We start from the raw sequence: 21,493 nt of genomic DNA, 5'->3' as shown, positions 1-21,493 counted from the left end.
AATGACATGGACTCAGCCAGGGGCAGGTTGAGAGGGACCCAAGAGTCCAGAGCCAGGATGGAAGGATGCACAGGGCCTGGCCTGGAGATGGGGGAAACAAAGAGGAAATGAGAGCTGAACCTGCCCATCTCGGGTCTTCGGACCCATATGGAAGTCCCCGCTGGTAGGGCTCACCAGGGAGAGGGTGTCCGGATCTGGGTCAAATCAGGAACTGAAGGGTCAGGTACCAAGTGCTCCCTTCTGGCGGGGGGGGTCTGGGAAGGCTGCCTGGACAGGGAGGCCTCAGACCCGGGCCTTGGAAGGTCCTTGGGATTTGGGTATGAAGTGGGAGGGAATGCCACCAAAAAGACCACATAATCCCCAGGGGATGTGAGCAGCGCCTGGAAGGACTGAGTCACTGTTCTGGGCAGAGGATGGGGAGAGAGGGCTGAGGCAGCCAGTAGGCATTGACCTGGGACCCTCCCCTCCCAGCTCAGCCGTGGGCTTGGCTCTACCGGCAGAGGGGAGCAGTGAAGGTGCCAGCGAGGGACCTGGCCAGACTGCCCTTGGAGGGAACCAGCTGGTGGCTGGGGAGATGAAGCAGCAGGGAGGACTGCTGCCCAAGTCCAGGCAGTTCTGGGGCCCCTGGGTCAGGCAGGGGTATTAGGAGGAAGTGAGGAAAATGGGCCGAGGATCTGGAGACGGACTGAAGGCGGGTGGACCAAGAGGGAGATGGCAACAAAGAGCTTCTGAGCTGTGTGACTTCTGCCTGGGTTCCTGGCTGGGGGTGGGGACGAGGCCCCCCATGCTCCCCGTGGCCCCAGGTTCCATCAGCCATGCATGCCTGGTCCCCACGGGGGTCAGTGCAAATGCCCGTTCATGAGGAGGGGCTCCTGGGAGGCTGGCAGAGGGGAGGAGCAGAGGCATGGACACCCATCCCCCTCCACAGGTCCCCACCAGTCACTCTCAGGGCTGGAGAAACTGGGCCTCTCCTGCCCAGTCTTGGGAACAGGGAGAGAAGCTGTCGGCAGCACTGCATGCTGGAGGGCAGTCGCAGGGTGCACTGGGGCCTGCTGTGTACCAGGCACTCACAGGGTGACCTGGGGCCTGCTGTATACCAGGTGCTGCCCCTACCATAGCCCTGAGAGATGGCTCCCATCAGCCCCGCTTTGGTGAGTCAGAGGCACAGAGGGGGCGAGCGATGAGCCCAGGGTCACACAACCAGCCAACAGCAGGTGGATCGAGGCCCGGCACCCTGTCCCCTGAGCCCACCTGGCCCAGGGCCTGGGGTCTCACCTTCTGCACCTGTCTGTCCCCGCAGGGAGCCGTGAGGCTGCCTTCACGTACGCCATCACCGCGGCTGGCGTGGCGCACGCCGTCACCGCTGCCTGCAGCCAAGGGAACCTGAGCAACTGCGGCTGCGACCGCGAGAAGCAGGGCTACTACAACCAAGCCGAGGGCTGGAAGTGGGGCGGCTGCTCGGCCGACGTGCGTTACGGCATCGACTTCTCCCGGCGCTTCGTGGACGCTCGGGAGATCAAGAAGAACGCGCGGCGCCTCATGAACCTGCATAACAATGAGGCCGGCAGGAAGGTAGGGTGCGGGTGCGGCTGGTGGGGGCCGTAGCTGGGACCGCTGTATCACCCGCTGACCTCTCGGAGCCTCAGGCTCCTCTTCTAGCAGAAGCAGTTGAGTCTCCGTAGGTGTGCAGGGGGTGGGGCCGTCTGGGTCCTCCACGTGCATGGCTCTGAGCCTCCCAGCACCGGGAGGAGGCTGTCCCCATCCAGAGATGTGAGAGCCGAGGCTCTGAATGCCAACGCGATGCTCACGGCCCCCAGGGAAGATGGGGACTCCATTTCCATGCAGGGTGTGAGCTGGGCTTGGCTGGGGACCCCGTGGCGGAGGGTCCCAGGCCACAGCCCATGTCCCTGCCCTTGGCGTTCCTGGTCCCGGAGGTCACCTCGGCACACCAGGAAAGACTTCCTGGCAGAGGCAGCCTTTTTGCTCAGCAAGGAAGGGATGCCCCCAGGAGGCAGGAGCAGCCTGAGGAAGGTGGAAGCTGTGAGCCGGGGGCTGCTGGGGAGCAGGCCGCTCCTGCATGGGGCGGGACGGAGTGTGGTGGGTGGCAATGGAGGAAATTCAGGCAGGGACACACCGGGGAAGAAGTCAGAGCAAGCCGGGCCCCGCCCACTGGAGATGAGGGCCCCAGATACTGGGCTGGGAGGAGCAGCTGCACGGCGGCAAGATGGCCTGAGATAGGGTGGCCAGCCAAGTGGAACGCCCAGCCGGCTCCGGCTCCGAGGCCTGGGGGCTGCACCCAGGGCAGCAGAGCCTAGGGGGCTTCTCAGGTGTGGGACAGACTTGCCGTTCCAGGCAAAGTGGAGCTGAAGAATCCCTCGGGCCCAGGGACCATAGCTGAGGCCACTGGTCACTCACTGCCCTTTTCTGTGCCAGGTGCTAGGCTGGGCACGGGGCAGAGAGGAATCAGGGCCCTGGCTGTGGGAACTGGGTCCACATGAGGGGTGCAGGGGTCACACCCAGGACGGTGAGGGCTTGGTTGTGTAGGAGAGTGTCAGAGTGAAGCTTTGATGGCCACAGGGCTTGGGAAGCAAGTAGGGCCTGGCACAGAAGAGATCTTGAACACCAGGCCAGGGGTTTGACTTTCTCTTGTAGATGTGGAGGTTATCATGCAGGTGGTTATTAAGTTATTGTTGGATGGATGGATAGATGTATGAGTGGATGGATGGAAGGATGAGTGGGTGGATGGGAGGATAGATGGATGGGTAGATAGATGAGTGGATGAGTGGGTAGATGGTTGGATGGATGGATGGAAGGATGAGTGGGTGGATGTATAGAAGAGTGCATGGGAAGATAGATGGATGGGTAGATGGTTGAGTGGATCGGTGGGTGGATGGAAGGATAAGTAGACAGATGAATGAAAGGATGGATCGGTGGGTGGATGGGTGAGTGGATTCACGGGTGGATGGAAAGATGGGTGGATGGAAGTATGGAGGGAAGGATGGGCGGGTGGGTGGAAGGATGGATGAGTGGATGCATGGATGGAAGGATGGGTGTATGGGCAGGTGGATGGATGCATGAATGGATGGAAGTATGGATGAATGAGGGGATGGGTGGAAGGATGGTTGGAAGGATGAGTGGGTGGAAAGATGGACGGAAGTATTGGTGGGTGGGTGGGTGGGTGGATGTACAGATGGAAGGATAAGTAGATGGACGAATCAAAGGATGGATCAGTGGGTGGGTGGATGGATGAGTGGATTCACGGGTGGATGGAAGGATGGATGGGTGAGTGGGTGGATGGGTGAATAGATGGATGGATAAAGGAATGAGTGACACAGGCTTTGCCTCCAAGGAACTCACAGACAGCATGTGAGCACTAGTCTCCAGGTACAGGCAGATCACAGTCCATGCCATAAAGGAGGCCTACGAACCTTGAGAGTCCAGAGGAAAGTGTGGTTCACCTACCTGGAGGCATCTGGGAGGACTCCCTGGAGGAGGAGGAGAAAGAGGAGAAGGCAAGGCTGAGCCCTCGTGGGAACCACCACCATCCTCGAGCCTCTGCAGCTGCTTAGGTTCTGAGCAGAGCCTTTCCCACACCCCCGGGGAAGAAACTCTCACTCTCCCCATTTTAAAGATAAGGAGAGTGAGGCTCAGAGTGAGCAGCAGACCTGGATGAGTGGCTCTGGAGGCTTAAGCTCGGGTCCCTGCTTGTGGGGAAGTGTACACAGCAGAGATGCGGGCAAGAGCACTCCAGGCAGAGGGAATAGCACAGGTAAAGGCATGGGGAACCAAGGTCGTGGTATGTCGTGGTATGCGGTATGGGGAAACCAGGGCCAGGATGGCCGGGTAGGGTGGTGTTGGTCTCTGGGCTACAGGTGCCATTGCAGGGCCCTGGGGCAGTGACACTGACCAACTCAGGGACCAGGGTTGTGTCTGATTTAGCTCTAGGGTGCTGTGTGAACCCCAGGGCTGACTTGGTGTGGGACTTGGAGGTGTCTGGTGACTCACAAGTGATGGAAAGGCAGAAGGGAAATGGAGACAGGAGGTGGGAAAACAAGGCGGCTGGTGATGGTCCCCACGGGTGGGCAGGAGACAAAGAGGACAGCCACAGGAAAGGGCTCTGATGATGCCGCCAGTGGCCAATTCTCCTACCAGCCTTGTCTCGGATGGCCGGTGGGGCCCTGGCTGACCCACGCTGCTGCTGAGCCTTGACCTCCTCATCTGCACAGTGGGTGCAATGCACTTTGTCCCCCAACTCCTCACTGCCCCGACCCTGTGCACCTGTGGGGCACAAGCGTGGTCTGAGCCCTTGGAGAAGGCCGAGGGTGGTGGCATCACGGCAGTGGGAGGTGGGTGTAGGGTGGGGCTTTGGAACTTTCCATAAGCACTGAATCCAGCCCTTCCTGGGTTGGTGCTGGGGCCCTAGCCCCATCACAGAGTACCAGGCCTGCCCCTGCCCCCCAGCTTCCTCAGGACCCCGCTGCACAGTGAGGTGGGTGGAAAGCAGCTGACTGCCGCCACAGACAAGTGCCGCGGGTGGGGCCTTAGAGCAAAGGACACCTGTTCTCTCTCAGCTCTGGGGCCCCAAGTCCAAAATCGAGGTGCTGGTTGGCAGGGCTGCACTCCCTCTAGGCAGCAGGGGAGGAGACTTCCTGGCTCTCGCAGCATTCCTCAGCTCCCAGTGTTCCTCCGCTGTGGCCACATCCCTCCAGCCCCTGCCTGTCTTCACCAGGTCTCCTCTGAGCCTGAGTCGTCTTCTCTTCCATCTCTTTGTTTTGAGATGGAGTCTTGCTCTGTCGCTGAGGCTGGAGTGCAGTGGCCTGCTCTCTGCTCACCGCAACCTCTGCCTTCCGGGTTCAAGCAATTCTCCTGCCTCAGCCTCCCGAATAGCTGGGATTACAGGCGTGTGCCACTGTGCCCAGCTAATTTCTGTATTGTTAGTAGAGATGGGGCTTCACCATGTTGCCCAGGCTGGTCTTGAACCCCTAACCTCAGGTGATCTGCCCGCCTCGGCCTCCCAAAGTGCTTGGATTACAGGTGTGAGCCACTGCACCTGGCCCTGTTCCATCTCTTATATGGACACTCTCATTGGATTTAGGGCCTACTTGGACAACCCAGGGTGACCTCCTCTCCGTTGTTTCCTTGACCACATCTGTAAAGGCCCTACTTCCAAATAAAGTCACTTGCCGAGGCTCTGAGCAGACATGAATTTGGGGGGTTGCTATGCCGTTCCCCTAGCTGGCATGTGGCCCAGGCTGGTGTCCCTGATGGGCAAGAGTGAGATGGGCAGAGTCTGGAGGCCCGCCCCCGCCCTGCCCCCACTTCTACCAGACCAAGGCCCTGGCTGCCCTTCCCCAAGCTCCCTGGGGGGCGGGGGTGACCTTTAATGGGCTGCCGCAGGGTGCCTGTGCGGAAAACTGTCAGAGCAGCCCCTGAGGTTTTGGAGACCTGAGTGCCCAGTGCCCGGCCCCCAGCTCTGCCCCTGGCACATGGTCCCCACTGCTACGTGGGGCAGGCAGGTCAGCAGGGCAGACAGAGGCCATGCCCCCAAGACCAACCCAGTGAAGGCAAGAGATTGTCCATCTGCAGAGGCCTGGGGGCTGTTGTCCGGACAGCTGAGGGCACCTCTCTTGGTGACATGAGGTTAGAAGCTATCGCTGTGGAGTTCCACCAGCTCCTGGAGCCAGGGGGTGGGAACCCCCTTAGCTGGCCATGTCCCACGTCTTGGCACAGCCCTTCCCTGACTGAGGGTCCACAGCGTCCTGCTGGGTGGGCGCATTGTTCACACCGTCCTAATGGGAGCGCCGGATCCTGGGAGGGGCACACCCTCCACACTCTCCTTCTCGGCCAGTGGCTCATGATGTAACTTCACTCGAGGCCACATTCAGTCCACTCTGTGGGCTCGTGGTCAGAGGGTGAAGCAGACGTGTGCTGTGTCCCTGAGGGGCTCACAGGTCAGGGCCACACTTACTTAGGGGCAGGGACCGGCCAGCATGGGAGGTGCTGTGGAAGAGGGTGTGAGGCACCTCATTCCACAGCCGCAGGCCATGGCCAGGATCCAGGGTGAGGTGCCTTCTGTCGGCCCCAGTGGCCGGAATATCGGACGCCAGGCTCCTGGGCTGGTCAGTCTCGCCCTGGAAGGACTTTAGTCCACCAACCCCATGACTCCCCTGCCTGGCTGTAACTGAGCACTGTTTCCAGAGCACAGGCTACACCCTTATTCTGGAAAGAACATTGAATTGGCCCTTTCCTGGAGCCCCCTCAGTCCACCACCCCCCTGCCCAACCAGGCCCCCAGCGTCGAGGAGGAACCAAGGCCTGGAGGAGCGGCCCCTGCGGCAGCCTGCAGCTCCCCTGAGCAAGATGAGCTCACTCTGTGCCCTGCCAGGTGGTCTCTTGGGGCAGGGGGCCGGTCTCAGTGCTGGCACCACCATTGCTGTTGCTCGAATGCCCAGGGCACTGGAGAAGGAAACGGCACATTCTTGAACCCTGTGATCACTTCCTGGGAGAGGCTCTGACCCAAGGGATCCAGCCAAGCGAGGATGTGGCCCCTCGCTCTGCAAGCAGCGGCCCAGTAGGCTTTATTTGCGGATGGTCACGGGCCTGGCCCTGCGGGAGCCGATTATCCCCAGGCGGGCAGTAGCATGCAGCTGGGTTCCCTGGCCTTGATGAAGACCGGGAGACAGGGACAGGGGAGGGAGGAGGGGGAGGGATACAGGGCACAGTACCAGGGGCAGCCATCCTGGGCCACAGCAGGAGCACTAGAGGGCAGCTTGGGCCTAGACCACGTGGCCTGCACACCCTCTAGTCTGGACAGGCCTGCCAGGTCTCCGGCCATCCAGGCCCATCTGAGGAGGGTGAGCAGCCCGGGGTGGGGTGAACTTCTCCCGGCTGGGAACTCCGAGAGGGGCCACCATCAGGGCAGCTCCTGGGGTGGCGCCTGGCCTGGGGAGCATCCGAGCAGGCCGTGTGGCCAGGGCCAGGGACACTTCCAGGCCTGAAGGGCAGGTTAGTGGAGGGAAGGGCTTTTCCAGGAGGGGACAGATCCCAGCAGAGATGAACAGGGAGCTGGGGTGATGGACAGGATGGGAGAGGGACAGGAGGCAGGGAGGAGGTCCCAATATACTCTCTGGGGGTCGCCCAGACACGCAGTCCAGGCTCTGGCCCATGACCTTGGCCCAGATGCCCCTTAGCCCTGCAATTCCCCAAAGCTGCCCCGCCCTCTTCTCAGGACACCCGGGCTCCTCCCACCCTCTGCCATCCTGGGAGGGACATCAGCCTCCCTCTCCCACCTCCCTCAAGTCTCTCCAGTCTCCCCAGTCTCTCCAGTCTTTGTCCAAGGGCATCACTGATGCAGAGCAGAAAACACCCCAGCTCCAGGCTGCCAGCCTAGGGCCCACCCGGCACCCACCTGCCAGCCTAGGGCCCACACAGCACCCACCTGATGAGACTTTGCGCCCACCCGGCACCCACCTGCTAGCCTAGGGCCCACCCGGCACCCACCTGATGAGCCTTTGGGCCCACCCAGCACCCACCTGCCAGCCTAGGGCCCACCCAGCACTCATCTGATGTGCCTTTGGGCCCACCCAGCACCCACCTGCCAGCCTAGGGCCCACCCAGCACCCACCTGATGAGCCTTTGGACCCACCCAGCACCTGCCTGATGAGACTTTGGGCCCGCCCGGCACCCACCTGCCAGCCTAGGGCCCACCCAGCACCCACCTGATGAGCCTTCAGGCCCACCCAGCACCCACCTGCCACTCTAGGGCCCACCTGGTGCCCACCTGATGAGCCTTTGGGCCCACCCAGCACCCACCTGCCACTCTAGGGCCCACCCAGCACCCGCCTGATGAGCCTTTGGGCCCCCCAGCACCTGCCTGATGAGCCTTTGGGTCCCCCGGCACCCACCTGCCAGCCTAGGGCCCGCCCGGCACCCACCTGCCAGTCTAGGGCCCACCCGGCACCCACCTGATGAGCCTTTGGGACCCCCAGCACCCACCTGCCAGCCTAGGGCCCACCTGGCACCCACCTGATGAGCCTTTGGGCCCAGCCTTTTCCTTCATGCTCAGTGGTCTCCAGACCTTCGCTCATGTTGAACCCCTCCTGGAATGCTGTCCTCTTTGTCTAACGAGCTCCGACTCATCCATCAATACCCACACCTCCTCCAGGAAGCCCTACCTCAAGGACCCTCACTGCAGCAGGATTAGGCTCTCCTGGGTTCCCGCAGCACCTTCACTATGTCCCATGCTGAACTGTGAGCCCCAGAGGACCTCATGCAATCAGGCCAGGGAAGCTGCTTGGGGCAGTAGCCATCTCTGTGGGGTTCTCTCCCTCTTTTTCTTGTACTCATTCATTCATTCATTTTCTGGGGGACTTCTCCACTAGGCTAGAGCTGGGGGCCAACAGCAGGTGCCCCATGACCGTGAGTTCTGGCCCGAGGGACAGAGGGTGGCCAAGCCCCGGCAGGGCTGGGCTGCCGAGTGAGGCCAGCAGAGCTCTGACAGCTGACAAATGGCCTCTCTGCAGCCGTGGGGCGCCAGCTAATAATTCCCCATCTTCAATCAGGCCCGGCTGGCAGGGCCCTTTCGATCCGGGTAAATGAGTACCTGGGGTCAGGGCTGGCTCTGGGAATCAGCCTTCCGGGGCCATGGAGGGAGGCCCAAGGAAAACACTCGGCTGCACCCGTGGAGGGCCCTTGTGGAGCTGGGGAGAAAGAACAGCGGGCGGGCCGGGGCTGTCGGCTTCTCAGCATGCCCGGGCCTCGCTGATCCGTGTACTCGCCTCCCCTGCTCCCCTTGGCCTTGGGCAACGTGCGCCGAGGGCCACCGGCACACCAGGCTTCCATTAAACACCAACTGCATGCCAGACCCTACGCTAAGCTCGAGGGTGGGGAGCGGGAGAGATGGCAGGGTGGGGTAATGAGCATTTATTAAGCACCTACTGTTGCTGGGCCTACCCCACCTGCTGCCTGTGACCTGCAGCAGGTCCCACAGCCCCAAACCTCGGTTTCCTCACCAGTGCATGACCAGGATATAGCATCTCCTTGAAGGGCTGTGAGAGTCTAACAAAGCACCTTCAATAAATGTACAGCAGGCTCTGCCAAGTCCTGAATATTCTCACTGTACCCTCACAACCTCCTATGCAGTGGAGACCTATTGTTAGCAGCCCCATGTAATAGGTGAGGAGGCTGAGGGTCAGAGAGGGAGAGACACTCACCTGTGGTCACACAGCCCAAGGGGAGGAGCGGGCTCCAGGGCTGGGCTAGAGGCAGGGGTAGGGGAACCTAGAGGGGCCCAGCTTGGGCCATGCCGTGCCGAGCAGCTTCCCTGTCACCCGCAGGTTCTAGAGGACCGGATGCAGCTGGAGTGCAAGTGCCACGGCGTGTCTGGCTCCTGCACCACCAAAACCTGCTGGACCACGCTGCCCAAGTTCCGAGAGGTGGGCCACCTGCTGAAGGAGAAGTACAACGCGGCCGTGCAGGTGGAGGTGGTGCGGGCCAGCCGTCTGCGGCAGCCCACCTTCCTGCGCATCAAACAGCTGCGCAGCTATCAGAAGCCCATGGAGACAGACCTGGTGTACATTGAGAAGTCGCCCAACTACTGCGAGGAGGACGCGGCCACGGGCAGCGTGGGCACGCAGGGCCGTCTCTGCAACCGCACGTCGCCCGGCGCGGACGGCTGTGACACCATGTGCTGCGGCCGAGGCTACAACACCCACCAGTACACCAAGGTGTGGCAGTGCAACTGCAAATTCCACTGGTGCTGCTTCGTCAAGTGCAACACCTGCAGCGAGCGCACCGAGGTCTTCACCTGCAAGTGAGGCCAGGCCCGGAGGCGGCCGCGGGCACCCTGGAACCCGGCGGCATTTTGCACATCCACTCCTCACCTTCCCTGCCTTGGTGCTGCCAGCAGCAGACATAGACGGGTGCAGAAGCGGGGAGCTCCAGGTGCAGGAGGGCACCGGCCGGGGCCCACGCCCTCTGCCCGCCTCCCTGGGGCTCCTTCCTGCCACCTCCTCCCATCACCTCCTGCGGCAGAACAGCACCCGTGACCCACCCAGAGAGCAAGGCCAGGGGTCTTGGTGCTCCCCGACGGGGCCCGGCAAGTTCTCTTTCTTCTCTCTGGGAAAATGAACGTCCAGGACACACCTGTATCCCAGAGAGCAAAGTGATGAGGAGACTGAGCGTCCCCAGCCCCACCTGGCGGCATGGACACAGAAAAGCTACGCCGGCTGGCCTCTCCAGACCAGTTCCCAGGCTGGGTCTGCCGCTGGGCCCTGGGGCGGTGGGGACAGATGTTGACACAAATTATTTATGTTTTCTTAGTATCAGAAGAGGATTCTCGGCACTAACACATAGCCAGTCCTAACTCCGTACTCTGTGTCAGCCCATCCCCTAGACACCCTCTGTTTCCTTTCCCGGCCCCACCTGGCCGGCCCTCTGCCCCTGCAGAGCTGAGGCAGCCTGGGGTTGATGGGGACCACGCGGTGCCTGCAGGTCCTAGAAGTGAGCTGGGCAGGGGCTCTTCAGACCACACAGCCCTGACCGGGCCTTGGAGGAGAGCCATGGACAGGCTCCTCCATGCCGTCTTTCCTTCTTTTGAAAATCCTATCAATGGCTGGGCGCGGTGGCTCACACCTGTAATCCCAGCACTTTGGGAGACCGAGGCAGGTGGATCACCTGAGGTCAGGAGTTCGAGACCAGCCTGGCCAACGTGGTGAAACCCTGTCTCTACTAAAAATACAAAAATTAGCTGGGCGTGGTGGCGTGCACCTGTAATCCCAGCTACTCAGGAGGCTGAGACAGGACACTTGCTTGAACCCGGGAGGTGGAGGTTGCAATGAGCCAAGATTGTGCCACTGTATTCCAACTTGGGTGACAGAGCACGACTCTGTCTCAAAAAAAGAAAAGAAAATAATATCAAGCAAATCAAAATATCACCCACGTCAGGTTCCAGGAGTCCTTCGTTCCCTCCCTCATCCTGTCACCCTCCCGGCCTGGCACCTCCAGTTTACAGAGACCCCCTTCCCCCTGGAGCCAGCCTGACCCCTGGGACAGTGCTGCCGCGGGGGTCAGGCAGGTGGTGAGTGGTCAGGGATGTTTGTCCCACTTGACAGATGGGAACTCTGAGGCCCAGAGTGGCACAAGGACCTACCAGAGACCCTGCAGCTGTGACTGGAGGCTTCCACCTTTCTCCTGCCCAGCCTGGGGCTCTGGACCTGGGAGAACACATCAGGATGCCCGGGGTGGCAGTAGGTAGCTCCCATGCCTTGAGGCACTTGGCTGCTCCCTCCACCCCCTGACAGCCTCATTGGGGCCTGCACTCCCCTCGGTGCCTTTGAGGCTTCGCCTAGCCCTGTCCTGGTCCTTTTACCCTGACCCCAGTGCTGAGAAAATCTGGATCCAGAGCTGGACATGTCCTTTCTGGATGCTCCCACCCCTGTCTCTGAGGAGCATGAGTGACAGAGGGAGGAACTTGTCCGAGGCCAGAGAGGATGGTCTGCAGCTGGCTCCTGGTGCACCCCCACTGCCCACGGCCTGGCCCCCATTTAGGGTGTGTTCTCTTGGAAGCCCGTAGGAATGTGTTCTTGAGCAGCCGACAAGCCAAGGGCCTGGGCTCAGCCTGGGGCAAGTGGGTCCCTCCTGGGCTCTGGCCCTGTGGTCCAGCCCATGTGCCTCTAACCATGCCTGGACGCTCTGAGTCTCCGGGCCACCGTGAATGCCCCACCCTCAGCCTGGCCCCATCCCCTTACCTTCCCCAAGTCCCAGAACACACCTGAGTCCATAGGCCCGGCAGCCTCTGCAAGGAACCTGGTTAACTTATGTTGTTATATAGCGTCGAAATGTCTATAGTGTCTTTAAATTATTGTGACCTACACTGGGTACCGGAGAGGGGGATGGCTGCGGCCCCCATCCCTCATCCCCCATCCCATCCCATCCCTCATCTCATCCCTCATCCCATCCCCCATCCCATCCCTGACCCCATCCCCCATCCCATCCCTCATCCCTATTCCCCATACCCACCCCCCATCCCATCCCCCATCTCCCGAACCAGGCTCCTCCTGCTTCAACAGACCCTTGGGGCCCCTGATGCCACCGAGACACTCGCACTGTCCCTTGGCTGCCGGGCACCCCACTGAGCCCCTGCCCACCCCAAAGTCTGCCAGCAACAGGCCCTTTGCCTGGGTGAGACGGGGGTCAGGGTGGCCCAGATGGGGGTGATGGCGACCAAGGTGCTGCGTCCCCACCCTTCTGACGGCAGCCTCCCCTGGAGGGGAGTGCTCGGCCCAATAAAAGCTGGAATCGGAAAAGTGAGTGTGTGTGGAATCCCCATGCGATGTACCTGCAGCTGCGGCCCCACCGGTGGGGACACATGCTCTGCCCACCCAGGACGAGCCCCCGAGGCCTTCATGTGCCCCCAGCTGTCTGGCTTCCTCCTGCCCCTCTGTGGGCCGTCCCTCCCATCCTCACACCAGACACCCTTGCCCAGAGCCCACCCCTGAGATCAAGTCATGCCTACCTGCCTCCAGGCACCTTTGGGCTGTCCCCACCCAGCCAGGGGAGCTGGGGCACTGGACACAGACCCTGAGGCCTTGCTGGACAGCACCAGGCTCAGGCTGCGGGGACAGGAGGGCCATGGGCCTGGCACCTGGTTACTGGGGGCTGGGCCAGAGCTGCTGTAAGAAGAAGGGACAGCAGGCCCCACTGGGCCCTGTGCCTCTGCTTCCCTCTGACCAGGGTGGGGTCTGGCTTTCAGGGTCCCTGTAGGTCCATCCAGCTGGGTCTGGTGGATTTTGGCTCCACAGCCCTGGGGACTGCCTTGCTCTCACCAGGCCTGGGAAGGTGGCATGAGGCCCCCAGAAGCTCAACAGCCTGCAGCTGGCCACAGGCTCCGCTGCTCCTCCCCAGAGCCTGGCCATGGCAGGGCCTCCCAGCCTGCATCCTGCGAGAGCCGTGCACACGGCGATGCACAGCACTTCCCCGAGGGCCAGAGGCATGTGGCAGGGCCGGTTTGGCCACTGCCCGCTGTCCCAGCAGCCTGGCATCGGGTGGAACTGCTGATCAAACAGACCCCATCCTTGCTGTGCCCAGCCCGGGCACCCACGGAACTGGCCCCAGACCCAGATCCCAGTGGAGGGGCTTCTCAAGGGGAATGGACCCCTCCAGGGTGTGGAGAGGGGGCGACAGCCAGAAAAGAGTGTTGGATTCACAGTCCCAGCCCTGTTCCTTCCTGATGCATGGGCAGCCTCTGGGGCGACCCTCCTGGATGTACAGCCTCAGTCTCCCCATCTAAGAGCAGAGGGTGGCCCGGAGCCAGGACTTGGTGGTCGGTGGGGCTCATGGGGCTGGCGTGCATGGGGCCTGGGCTGGGCAGTTTGGCAGGAGGCCCTGGTTCCCCGTGAGACAGTAAGTGAATCAGCGGCGGCGGCGGCAGCAGCGGCACGCCGGGGTCCGGCTACTCCCACAGGGCCAGGAATGAGGAAGCCTCTGAGATGCCCGGCCCTGGTGCCCAGACTGTACTGATTTCTTGGCTCTGGTTCAACCCCCACCCAGTCCCCTCGGGCTGCCCTGCACATCCTCCCAGGGGGCCTGCTGGAGGCCTCACCCTTACTGCTGGCCTGGCCCGGGGGCCCACCTGACCCCAGCCTCCGCCCCTAAGGCTCACATTTTGGGAGCATTTCCCCCTGGCCAGCCCCTCGCACCCCCACTCAGTGGCTCACTGCTGCATGGGGTGGTGCCCCCACGTGCTTAGCCCTGGCCACCCCTGCCCTGCAGGTGTTGCCCACACCAGGGGCTTTCCTGCCCTCTGATTGGCCCCAGCGGTTCCCGCACCAGGCGTGCCACCTGGCTGCTCCCAGACATAGGCCATTCCTGTGGGCTTTGCTGCGTAAGGTTTGGGGACCGATGGCTGGAAGGGCCGGAGTTCTGGGAGCCCATCTCTACGCAGGCTCGCTGGCTAATTCCTTTGCAACTTCAGTTCTGCCCTGGGCTGGCCCTGACTTCCGACCCCACTTCCCCTGCGGTGCCTGTGCCCACAGCTGCCGGTGGTGAGGCTGGTGGCCCATCTGGGGGGATGCAACAGCTGACGACCCAGGCAGCCTGGGAGCGAGGAAAGGGTTTTTTCTGCACTCACTCCTCCAGGCCTCTGAGCCCGGGCTTCCCGCTCTGTAGAAGGGACGTAAGGGAACAGAGCCTCTGCCCTGCTGCCACCGGGTCCCCTCCTCCTCTCTTGGGGGATCCACGTCCTTCCCTGACTCACAGCTGAGCTGCAGCCCTGGCTCCCACCCTGCCCTGTCCCACAGGGCTGCCCGCGCCATTCACTTGGCACTGTCTGGTGGCCAGAGCACACAGGGGCCCTGTGGCCCTGGAGGGCAGAGGATGTCTCATTGGTGTACCCTTAGAGTCCTTTCTGACCCACTGAGGTGCCCACAGCCCATCCCCTCCCCGTCCCCCTGCAGAGTGAGCCCCAGCCCTGCCTGTGCTCCCGCTGGCTCTTCCCAGGATGCACCCCACACTCTTCCTTCCCTGACCCCGGCTTGCAACAAGCTGGCTGTAGAGTCTTGCTCTCTCCTCCTCCCCTGCCTCAGCTCCCACCCTTAGGGGCAGCGTCCTGTTTCTGTGACGGCCCCTGTCTCCCAAGCTGGCTGAGGTCCAGCACAGCCCCGTGCTAGGCCTTGGGCCTGTTCCACACGTGTCCACGACCTTTACAACACCCCTTCCCCAAATAGGTCAGTGCTAGTTCCATTTTACAGATGGCAAAACTGAGGCACAGAGAGTAAGGAAACCCGTCCAAGCTCAACAGCCAGTGAAAGGCAGAACCAGGATTTGAATCCAGGCCCTCTGGGGTCTTCCTTCTACCCAACTCATGTGCCTCCTCCCATGAGGGGACACAGAGGCCCAGGGACCTTGTCCAAGGTCACAGAGAGATGAAGGGGAACAGAGTGGCTATGGCTGGTCGCAGAGAGATGACGAGCAACACTGTATCTTCACCAACAGAACAAGAAAGACCCAGTTAAAAAGCAGCAGGCAAGGTCTGAGTTCGATGCGTCTGAGTGAACTTCACAACTCCCAGAACTGGGAGTTAAAGGAGGGGGATCAGGAAGGAGGGGCTGTGGACCACCTTTTCCCCAAGCTGGGCTAGTCTTGCTGGCCCCTTGGGAGGGGCCGTGGTCAGGGGGTAGAGGGGCAGAGGGGCAGAGCGGTGCACAGGGAGGGGTGGCTGAATCACCGTGTGCCAGACACACGGGAAAACCTGAGCTCCCCGAGCAGAGCCGCCAGCTTGCTCCCGGGAGAGCCCAAAGCTGGAGCAGGTGCTGCAGACTCCTTCCGCCACGGGAACCAGGGACTCCAGCTGGCGGTGACCCAGGCCTCGTCCTAGCCTGTTTCCCTCTGAGTCTGAGCTTGCACCTGCCTTCCTTCCCTAGGGTTCTACCTGTCTGTTCATCAGGTCTTTGCACTTGAAGGACCCGGGGACTCAGAGCCACTTGGCCTGGGTGCCCTAGGACCCTTGGGAATCAGAGCCTGTGAGTTTTGGGGATCCAGGGAGTTGCATGTTGATGCCCACAGCAGTGCCCCATAGATACACAGTGCCCAGTGGGCAGGTGGCCAGCAAAATGCAAAGGAGAGGGGGTCTCAGGACCCAAAGTTCACCTACAGCCTGCCCTTGGCAGGTGCTCCTGCCAGGACCCTGGGGTGAGCAGTGCCTCCAGCCAGAACTGGAGACCCAGCTCTTTTTCGAGTCGTCTGCTGACCCCACCTTAGGACACATGGAGGTCGTGCCAGGGGAGGCAGCCTGGGCCTCCAGGCCACTGTCCTGTGTCCAGGACCTCTTGTGGTCTGGGCCACTCACCTCTCACAGCTGGAGTCCTGTAGCCACAGAAGGGAAAACCCTCCCAGCCTCACTCGGAAGCAGCGGGGAGGAGACGCAGGCGGAAGCTGAGGAGTCCTCTCACTCCATCTGCAGGCAAGGGCCTGAGGCCAGCAGGGCAAGGCCGGGACACCTTCTGGGTCCAGACCCAGGTGTCCTACCTGAGGCCACACTGCTTTCCCTGGGCAGGCAGCCAAACCACCCTGAGGCCTAAGGGTGGCCTCACAAGCACAGTGCCAGGAGAAGCCCAGTGGAAGGTCTTGGGCAGGACCCCTGGAGAGGTCCCTGTGGCGTCTGCAGCCCTGGAAGCCCTCGTCAGAGCGGCTGGGGCCAAAGAAGCCACAGCTGGGGCCACTTGCCGGCTGGACCTGCGCACACCATCCCCATCTGAGCTGCTGGGGCCAAAGAAGCCACAGCTGGGGCCACTTGCCGGCTGGACCTGCGCACACCATCCCCATCTGAGCTGCTGGGGCCAAAGAAGCCACAGCTGGGGCCACTTGCCGGCTGGACCTGCGCACACCATCCCCATCTGAGCTGCTGGGGCCAAAGAAGCCACAGCTGGGGCCACTTGCCGGCTGGACCTGCGCACACCATCCCCGTCCGAGCGGCTGGGGCCAAAGAAGCCACAGCTGGGGCCACTTGCCGGCTGGACCTGCGTACACCATCCCACTTTTCCAGATGGGTGGGGGCCCTGCCCACGGTTCTTCCCTGGCCCCCGGCTCCAACCCTCCCTCTGGCTCCCACCAAGCACGGCCCATGGCATCCACCCAGTCACACACTCGTTTCTTCACTCATGTCTTCACGTGCCCATCACGTGCTGGGCACTTCAGCGCCTGGAGCATGGTCGGGCATTGTGGGGTCTCAGAGCTGAGTCTCAAGTGGGGTCCTCTCCCAGTTAGCCCCAGGCCAGGACGAGGGGCAAAATGACAAATGAACAGTTCCCCTCAGCCTCCATGACCAAGTGTGCCATGGAGGGAAGTAGGGGCCAGCAGTGCAGCCCTGCCTGGGCACTCAGGGATGGCTTCCTAGAGGAGCTGTGTGGAGGGTGAGACCAGAAGCAAAAGTAGGAAAGGAAAGGGGGGAGACCGTGGGAGCCAGAGGGAAAGGAAGCGGCGAGCCTGGGGTAACTGAAGGGACAGTGGAGATGGAGTTAGTGGGAGCTGGGGCAGGGGCTGGTAGAGCTTGGAGACAAGGTTTCAGAAGATTCTGGAGGGACAGAGGGGACTCTTGCTCTTGAGCCCCATGGTTTCTAGCATTCAGCAGGAACTCTCACCCCCCATCCCACCCACCTGTGGCCCTGCAGCCTGATGCCCTTTGGACAAGGAGCTCTCGCCCCCCTACCCCAACCACCTGTGACCCAGCAGCCTGGTGCCCTCTGGACAAGGAGCTCTCACCCCCTCCACCCCACCCACCTGTGGCCCTGCAGCCTGGTGCCCTCTGGACAAGGCCTGTGGCTGCCCAGCCACCCCCGGCTGCCTGCCAAGCTCCTAGGTCCCAGGAGGAAAGTGTCCCATGCTGTGATGAGGCTGTAGGGGAGTGGGGAGTGAGGGCTGGGCACTGGGGCCCCTCTTGGTGCTATTCCTAGCCCCCTCTCAAGCCCCCTGCCAGGCCCAGTGGGCTAGGGCTGTTGGCCTCAGGTTGCCCTGGGGAGGAGGCTGTTTCCCCAGGTCCGTCTAGCCCAGCAAAAGCTCTCCAGGAGAGGCTTCCACACTCCTCCTCTAGGCCTCGGTTGCCCTATTTGGACAGGCTGATCCCTGGGGTTCGTATCAGACCCCAGGATGGGCTGAGCTTGGGTGGGCACAGAGCAGGCTGCTCCCCCAGGCTCATCATAAATGCCTGCATTGCACCAACAAGGCCAATGCCAAGGGCTTTGGGCTCCTTGTCAACCAGCCCTGCAAGGGGGGCACCTTGCCTGCTGAGAGGGGGGACAGGCTGGCCAATGGGTCCTGACACAGACAGTGACTAACATCTGCTTCCTCACCTGGTTCCCAGGAAAGAGGGATCGATTAAATCTCAACCACAGACACTCTGGGAGGGTGAGGGCAGGTGGCGACAGATCCGAGTCACCAGGACTATCTCAGGGAGCCAGGGAGTACTCTGCAGGGAAGGGCACTCCTCAATCTCAAAGGGCCCCACTCTGTGGCAAGGGTTACTGCTATGTGGATCCACCAGCACCTCTCATTCTAGACACTGCATGGGGCAGCCCTAGGAGGCCTAGTAGGGGCAGGCCTCAGGCTGCATTAGAAAGGCCTTTTTCAGGCTAGCCAAGCCACTAGGAGGAGGGAATTCCCCACCACTGGAGGCATTCAAGCATGGTTTGATCTCCGCATGATGGAGAGGGAGGTGTGCAGCCCCTGGTGTTCTGATTCCACAATTCTGAGATGCTGAGAGGCTGTATGTTTAGTTGTAGTACAAGAAGACTTCGTTCTGTGGTTGGAAGGGGTTGCAGTTCTGGGCCAGGGTCTGGGGGAAGCCTCTTCTTCTGTGCCTGACACTGGGAGTTCCCTTCAGAGGTGAGAAGCTCTGTCTCACCCTTGTTCATTGGTTCCACAGACGTTATTGCTTCTCCCATGTGTCTGGCAAAAGTCCTGCCCACAGGGAGGTGACAGTCTGGAGGGGGATGTGAGACCATCAACACCTACTATGAAGGAAGCAGGTGTTATAAATCATCAAGCACTCAGCATGGAAGGAAGTCATCATGGCTCAGGAAGAGCCAGAGGCAGAGCAGGCCACACAGAGATGGCAGTGCAGGAGAGGAGGGAGTGGGGTGTGGAGGGTGTGGACGGTGTTCCAGGGGTAAGGCTGGGAGGCGGGAGAATGACTGATGGCCAGGAGCTGTAGGAGGTCAGTGGTTGGGACAGAGCGAGAGGAGAGGAGTGCAGAGGTGTGGCTGGGCAGACAGCAGGGTCTTTTTGGGCCACCAAGATGATGTGGCCTTTCCTCTCAGTGACTCAATGGGCACTGCAGGGCTGGTGGCAGACAAGGACATGGTCTGCCTTCATTTCTAAGAGGGTCCCTAAGCTGCAGTGCAGGGAAAAGCCCAGCGAGGCAGGGGATGAGGCAGGGAGAGGGTGAGGAGGCCACTCTCAGGTCAGGTCAAGAGGTGCATGGGAGAAGCATGGGGTTCTAGAGGCATTTTGCAGGCAGACCAGGGGCATCCCCGCACAGAGGTCAGGCAGGCTCTGGACAGGGACCCCAGGGAGGGAAGGCCAGAGGAGGCAAGGGTGTGCCTGGCCCAGGCTGAGCATCCCAGGTATCCTTCAGGTGTGGGGGGACTTTCTCCAGGCCCCCCCAGGGGTGGGGAAAGGAGCCAGGACACAGGCTCAGCGGGGAACCTGGCGGGGGAGGCACCTGCCCCTCGTTCACCTGGCATGGCCTGTGGTGGAGGGACTGGCTAGCCGGGCCCAGGAGCAGGCTGAGAGCAGGGGTTCTGAGCTGGACAGCCGCTCTCAGACAGGCTCTGGTGGGGTCTATCTGTGTGACCTTGGCCTCGTGCTACCTCAGTTTCCCCTGTAAGCTGGGTTGAGAGTGCCTGGGTAGCAGCAGGGAGGCGTACTCCATGGAAGCCCCTCCCCCTGCCCGCCTTGGGGGCCAAGAGACCCTCAGAGAGCAGCTGTGTCCCTCCAGCTGGCAGCAAAGCCAGGAGCCCTGGGAGGTCTCTTAGCCACCCGCCCTGCTCAGGGCCCAGCAAAGGCCCCTCCCCTCCCCTGGGCAGACCCATGGGTGGAGGGGAGATGGGGGTGTGGGTGCGGTAGGGGAGGGCAGGGCTGTGTCCTGGGAGCTCTGCAGACCTGGAGGCAGCCCAGGGTTGGCTTCTGGGAAGTTGGGGCTCCAGAAGGGGATTTTCATGGCAGCTGGATCGCTTCCTGGTGAAGATTCAAAGAGCCCCTTGCCCACGTGCCAACAGCACTTTACAGTTTATGAATTCCCCCTGTGACCATTATCTGGCTCAGCCTTGAGGCCTGGAAGCCCCCAGCCTCTCTGCTAGTTTTCAAGGGCCCCTCAGCTGGTGTCTCTCACCTCTCCTCGGTTCCTCCCCAGGGCCCTCTCTCCCTTCACTGGCCCCTGGGTCCCCTCCTGTCCCCAGCCAGCCAGAGAGCTCCTCCTTGAACCCCCCATCCCCTCTGTACTTATCATGATCTCGTAAGAGCTGCGCCTTCCCCGAACTGCCCCTCCCTGCTGGAGATTGCCTGGGGCCACTTGCCCTGGGCTCCCCCTGGACCCCACAGGCCCCTCTCCTGGGGGTCCCTATGTTCATGCCAAGCTGCACCCCCACACTGTTCTGTCCCCGCAGGCACTCGGGGCTGCAGTGTCTTCCCCAAACCCCGTGAAGTGGCTGACCATCATTTCCCCATGTCTACCCTGGACCCCACACCCCACACCCCCCAACAAGCCCTGCAGACTTCTCATCCTCCAGTGCTCCCTGGCTCCCCCTCACTAGCCCCCTCAGTCTCCACACCAGCCTAGCCAGGGCCAGTAAGTCCAGGACTGTCCCAGCCTCACCTTGGCAGTTCCCTCAGGCAGAGACACAGCCCCTTCACCCGGTCGCCCTTCAGGCCTCAGTGGGCACGATGCCTCTTCCAGAACAGGGTCGATGCCACCTGCCTGGGCGTGGCCTGCCTGGCCCTGCCAAGCCTTCTGCAGCTGCAGTGGGCAGCCTCCACCTCATAATCGTTTTCTGCCACCTTTCCTACACCCATCGCTGGCGGTGAAGTCAAAACTTGGCATGAGATCCGGAGCGCCAGACCAGGACTTGCACAACTCTGGGTGGGGCGGGAGGAATCCCTGTGGGGACGCGGAGATGCACCTATTTTTAGCCTTAAGAAGAAAACTCAACCCCAACACGCACAATATGCAACACAAATATTTGTTTTTATTCTTAAAAGGGCTCAAATGGAGGGCTTGGGGCCTGAAGCACATGCTTGGTTGCGTCATCCAACAGTCCCCACCCCGCAGAGCCTCCCGCTCCAGAGAGCCTCCCAGGGTCTCCACCCTCCCTGAGCTCCCCAGCCCTTCCTGAACTCGCCTGGCAACTTCCCCCTCTCACCCTTGCTCCGGCGCGCCTCCCCTCGGTGTGTTGTGCAGTGATGCCCTGCATCCTAAGGTTGGCTGGAGCTCCCCCTGCTTCCCTAGGGATGCCCTTCCTGCCCAGGACTCCCTGCAGCGATTGGCGGGGCCTCCGTGAGCCATGTGGGGGCCGGCGTCCTCCTGTTGGGGGTGCTGCTCTGATGGCCCCATCTTGGACCCTGAGCTGTGTCCCAAGAAAGCAAGATGTTCCCCAGGAGCTCCCAGGCTTGGAGAGACCTGGGAAGTCTGGCTGAGCCGCTGGTGGGGACAGCAAAGAGGCTTCCACGCTGAGGAACTTGAGCTGGGAGGGCATGGTGTCCTGGGGCTGCTGGAATGAATGACAGAAGCGGGGCTTGAAGCAACATTTATTCTCTCACAGTGCTGGAGGCCAGGAGTCTGAAATCGGCATCCTTGGGCCCAAATCCAGAGGTGGGCGGGGCCACGCTCCCTCCTGGCTCCAGGGGAGGACCCAGCCTCTGATGGCTGCCGGCGCCCTCGGCTTGCGGCGGCATCACCCGGACTTGGAGGGCAGCATCTTCAAATCTCCCTGCGCTCCTCTTCCCAC

The 21,493-nt window shown here is 61.7% G+C and overlaps 1 protein-coding gene across 2 annotated transcripts in view; it reads left to right on the top strand.

Moving 5' to 3' along the window:
• The window catches only part of WNT7B (Wnt family member 7B), a 56,797-nt gene extending 44,493 nt beyond the window's left edge, over positions 1–12,304 (top strand). For both annotated transcript variants that reach the window (NM_058238.3, NM_001410806.1), the window contains exons 3-4: positions 1,301–1,572; positions 9,335–12,304. In NM_058238.3, coding sequence (NP_478679.1) covers positions 1,301–1,572; positions 9,335–9,814 — 752 coding nt within the window. In that variant the 3' untranslated portion in view covers positions 9,815–12,304. The remainder of the gene's footprint in view (positions 1–1,300; positions 1,573–9,334) is intronic.
• Positions 12,305–21,493: the final 9,189 nt, after the last annotated feature.

This window comes from Homo sapiens, chromosome 22, assembly GCF_000001405.40.
Source record: "Homo sapiens chromosome 22, GRCh38.p14 Primary Assembly".
Taxonomy (NCBI): Eukaryota; Metazoa; Chordata; class Mammalia; order Primates; family Hominidae; genus Homo; species Homo sapiens.
Note: the sequence above shows the minus strand (reverse complement) of the source record. Positions and strands in the feature narration are given on the sequence as shown.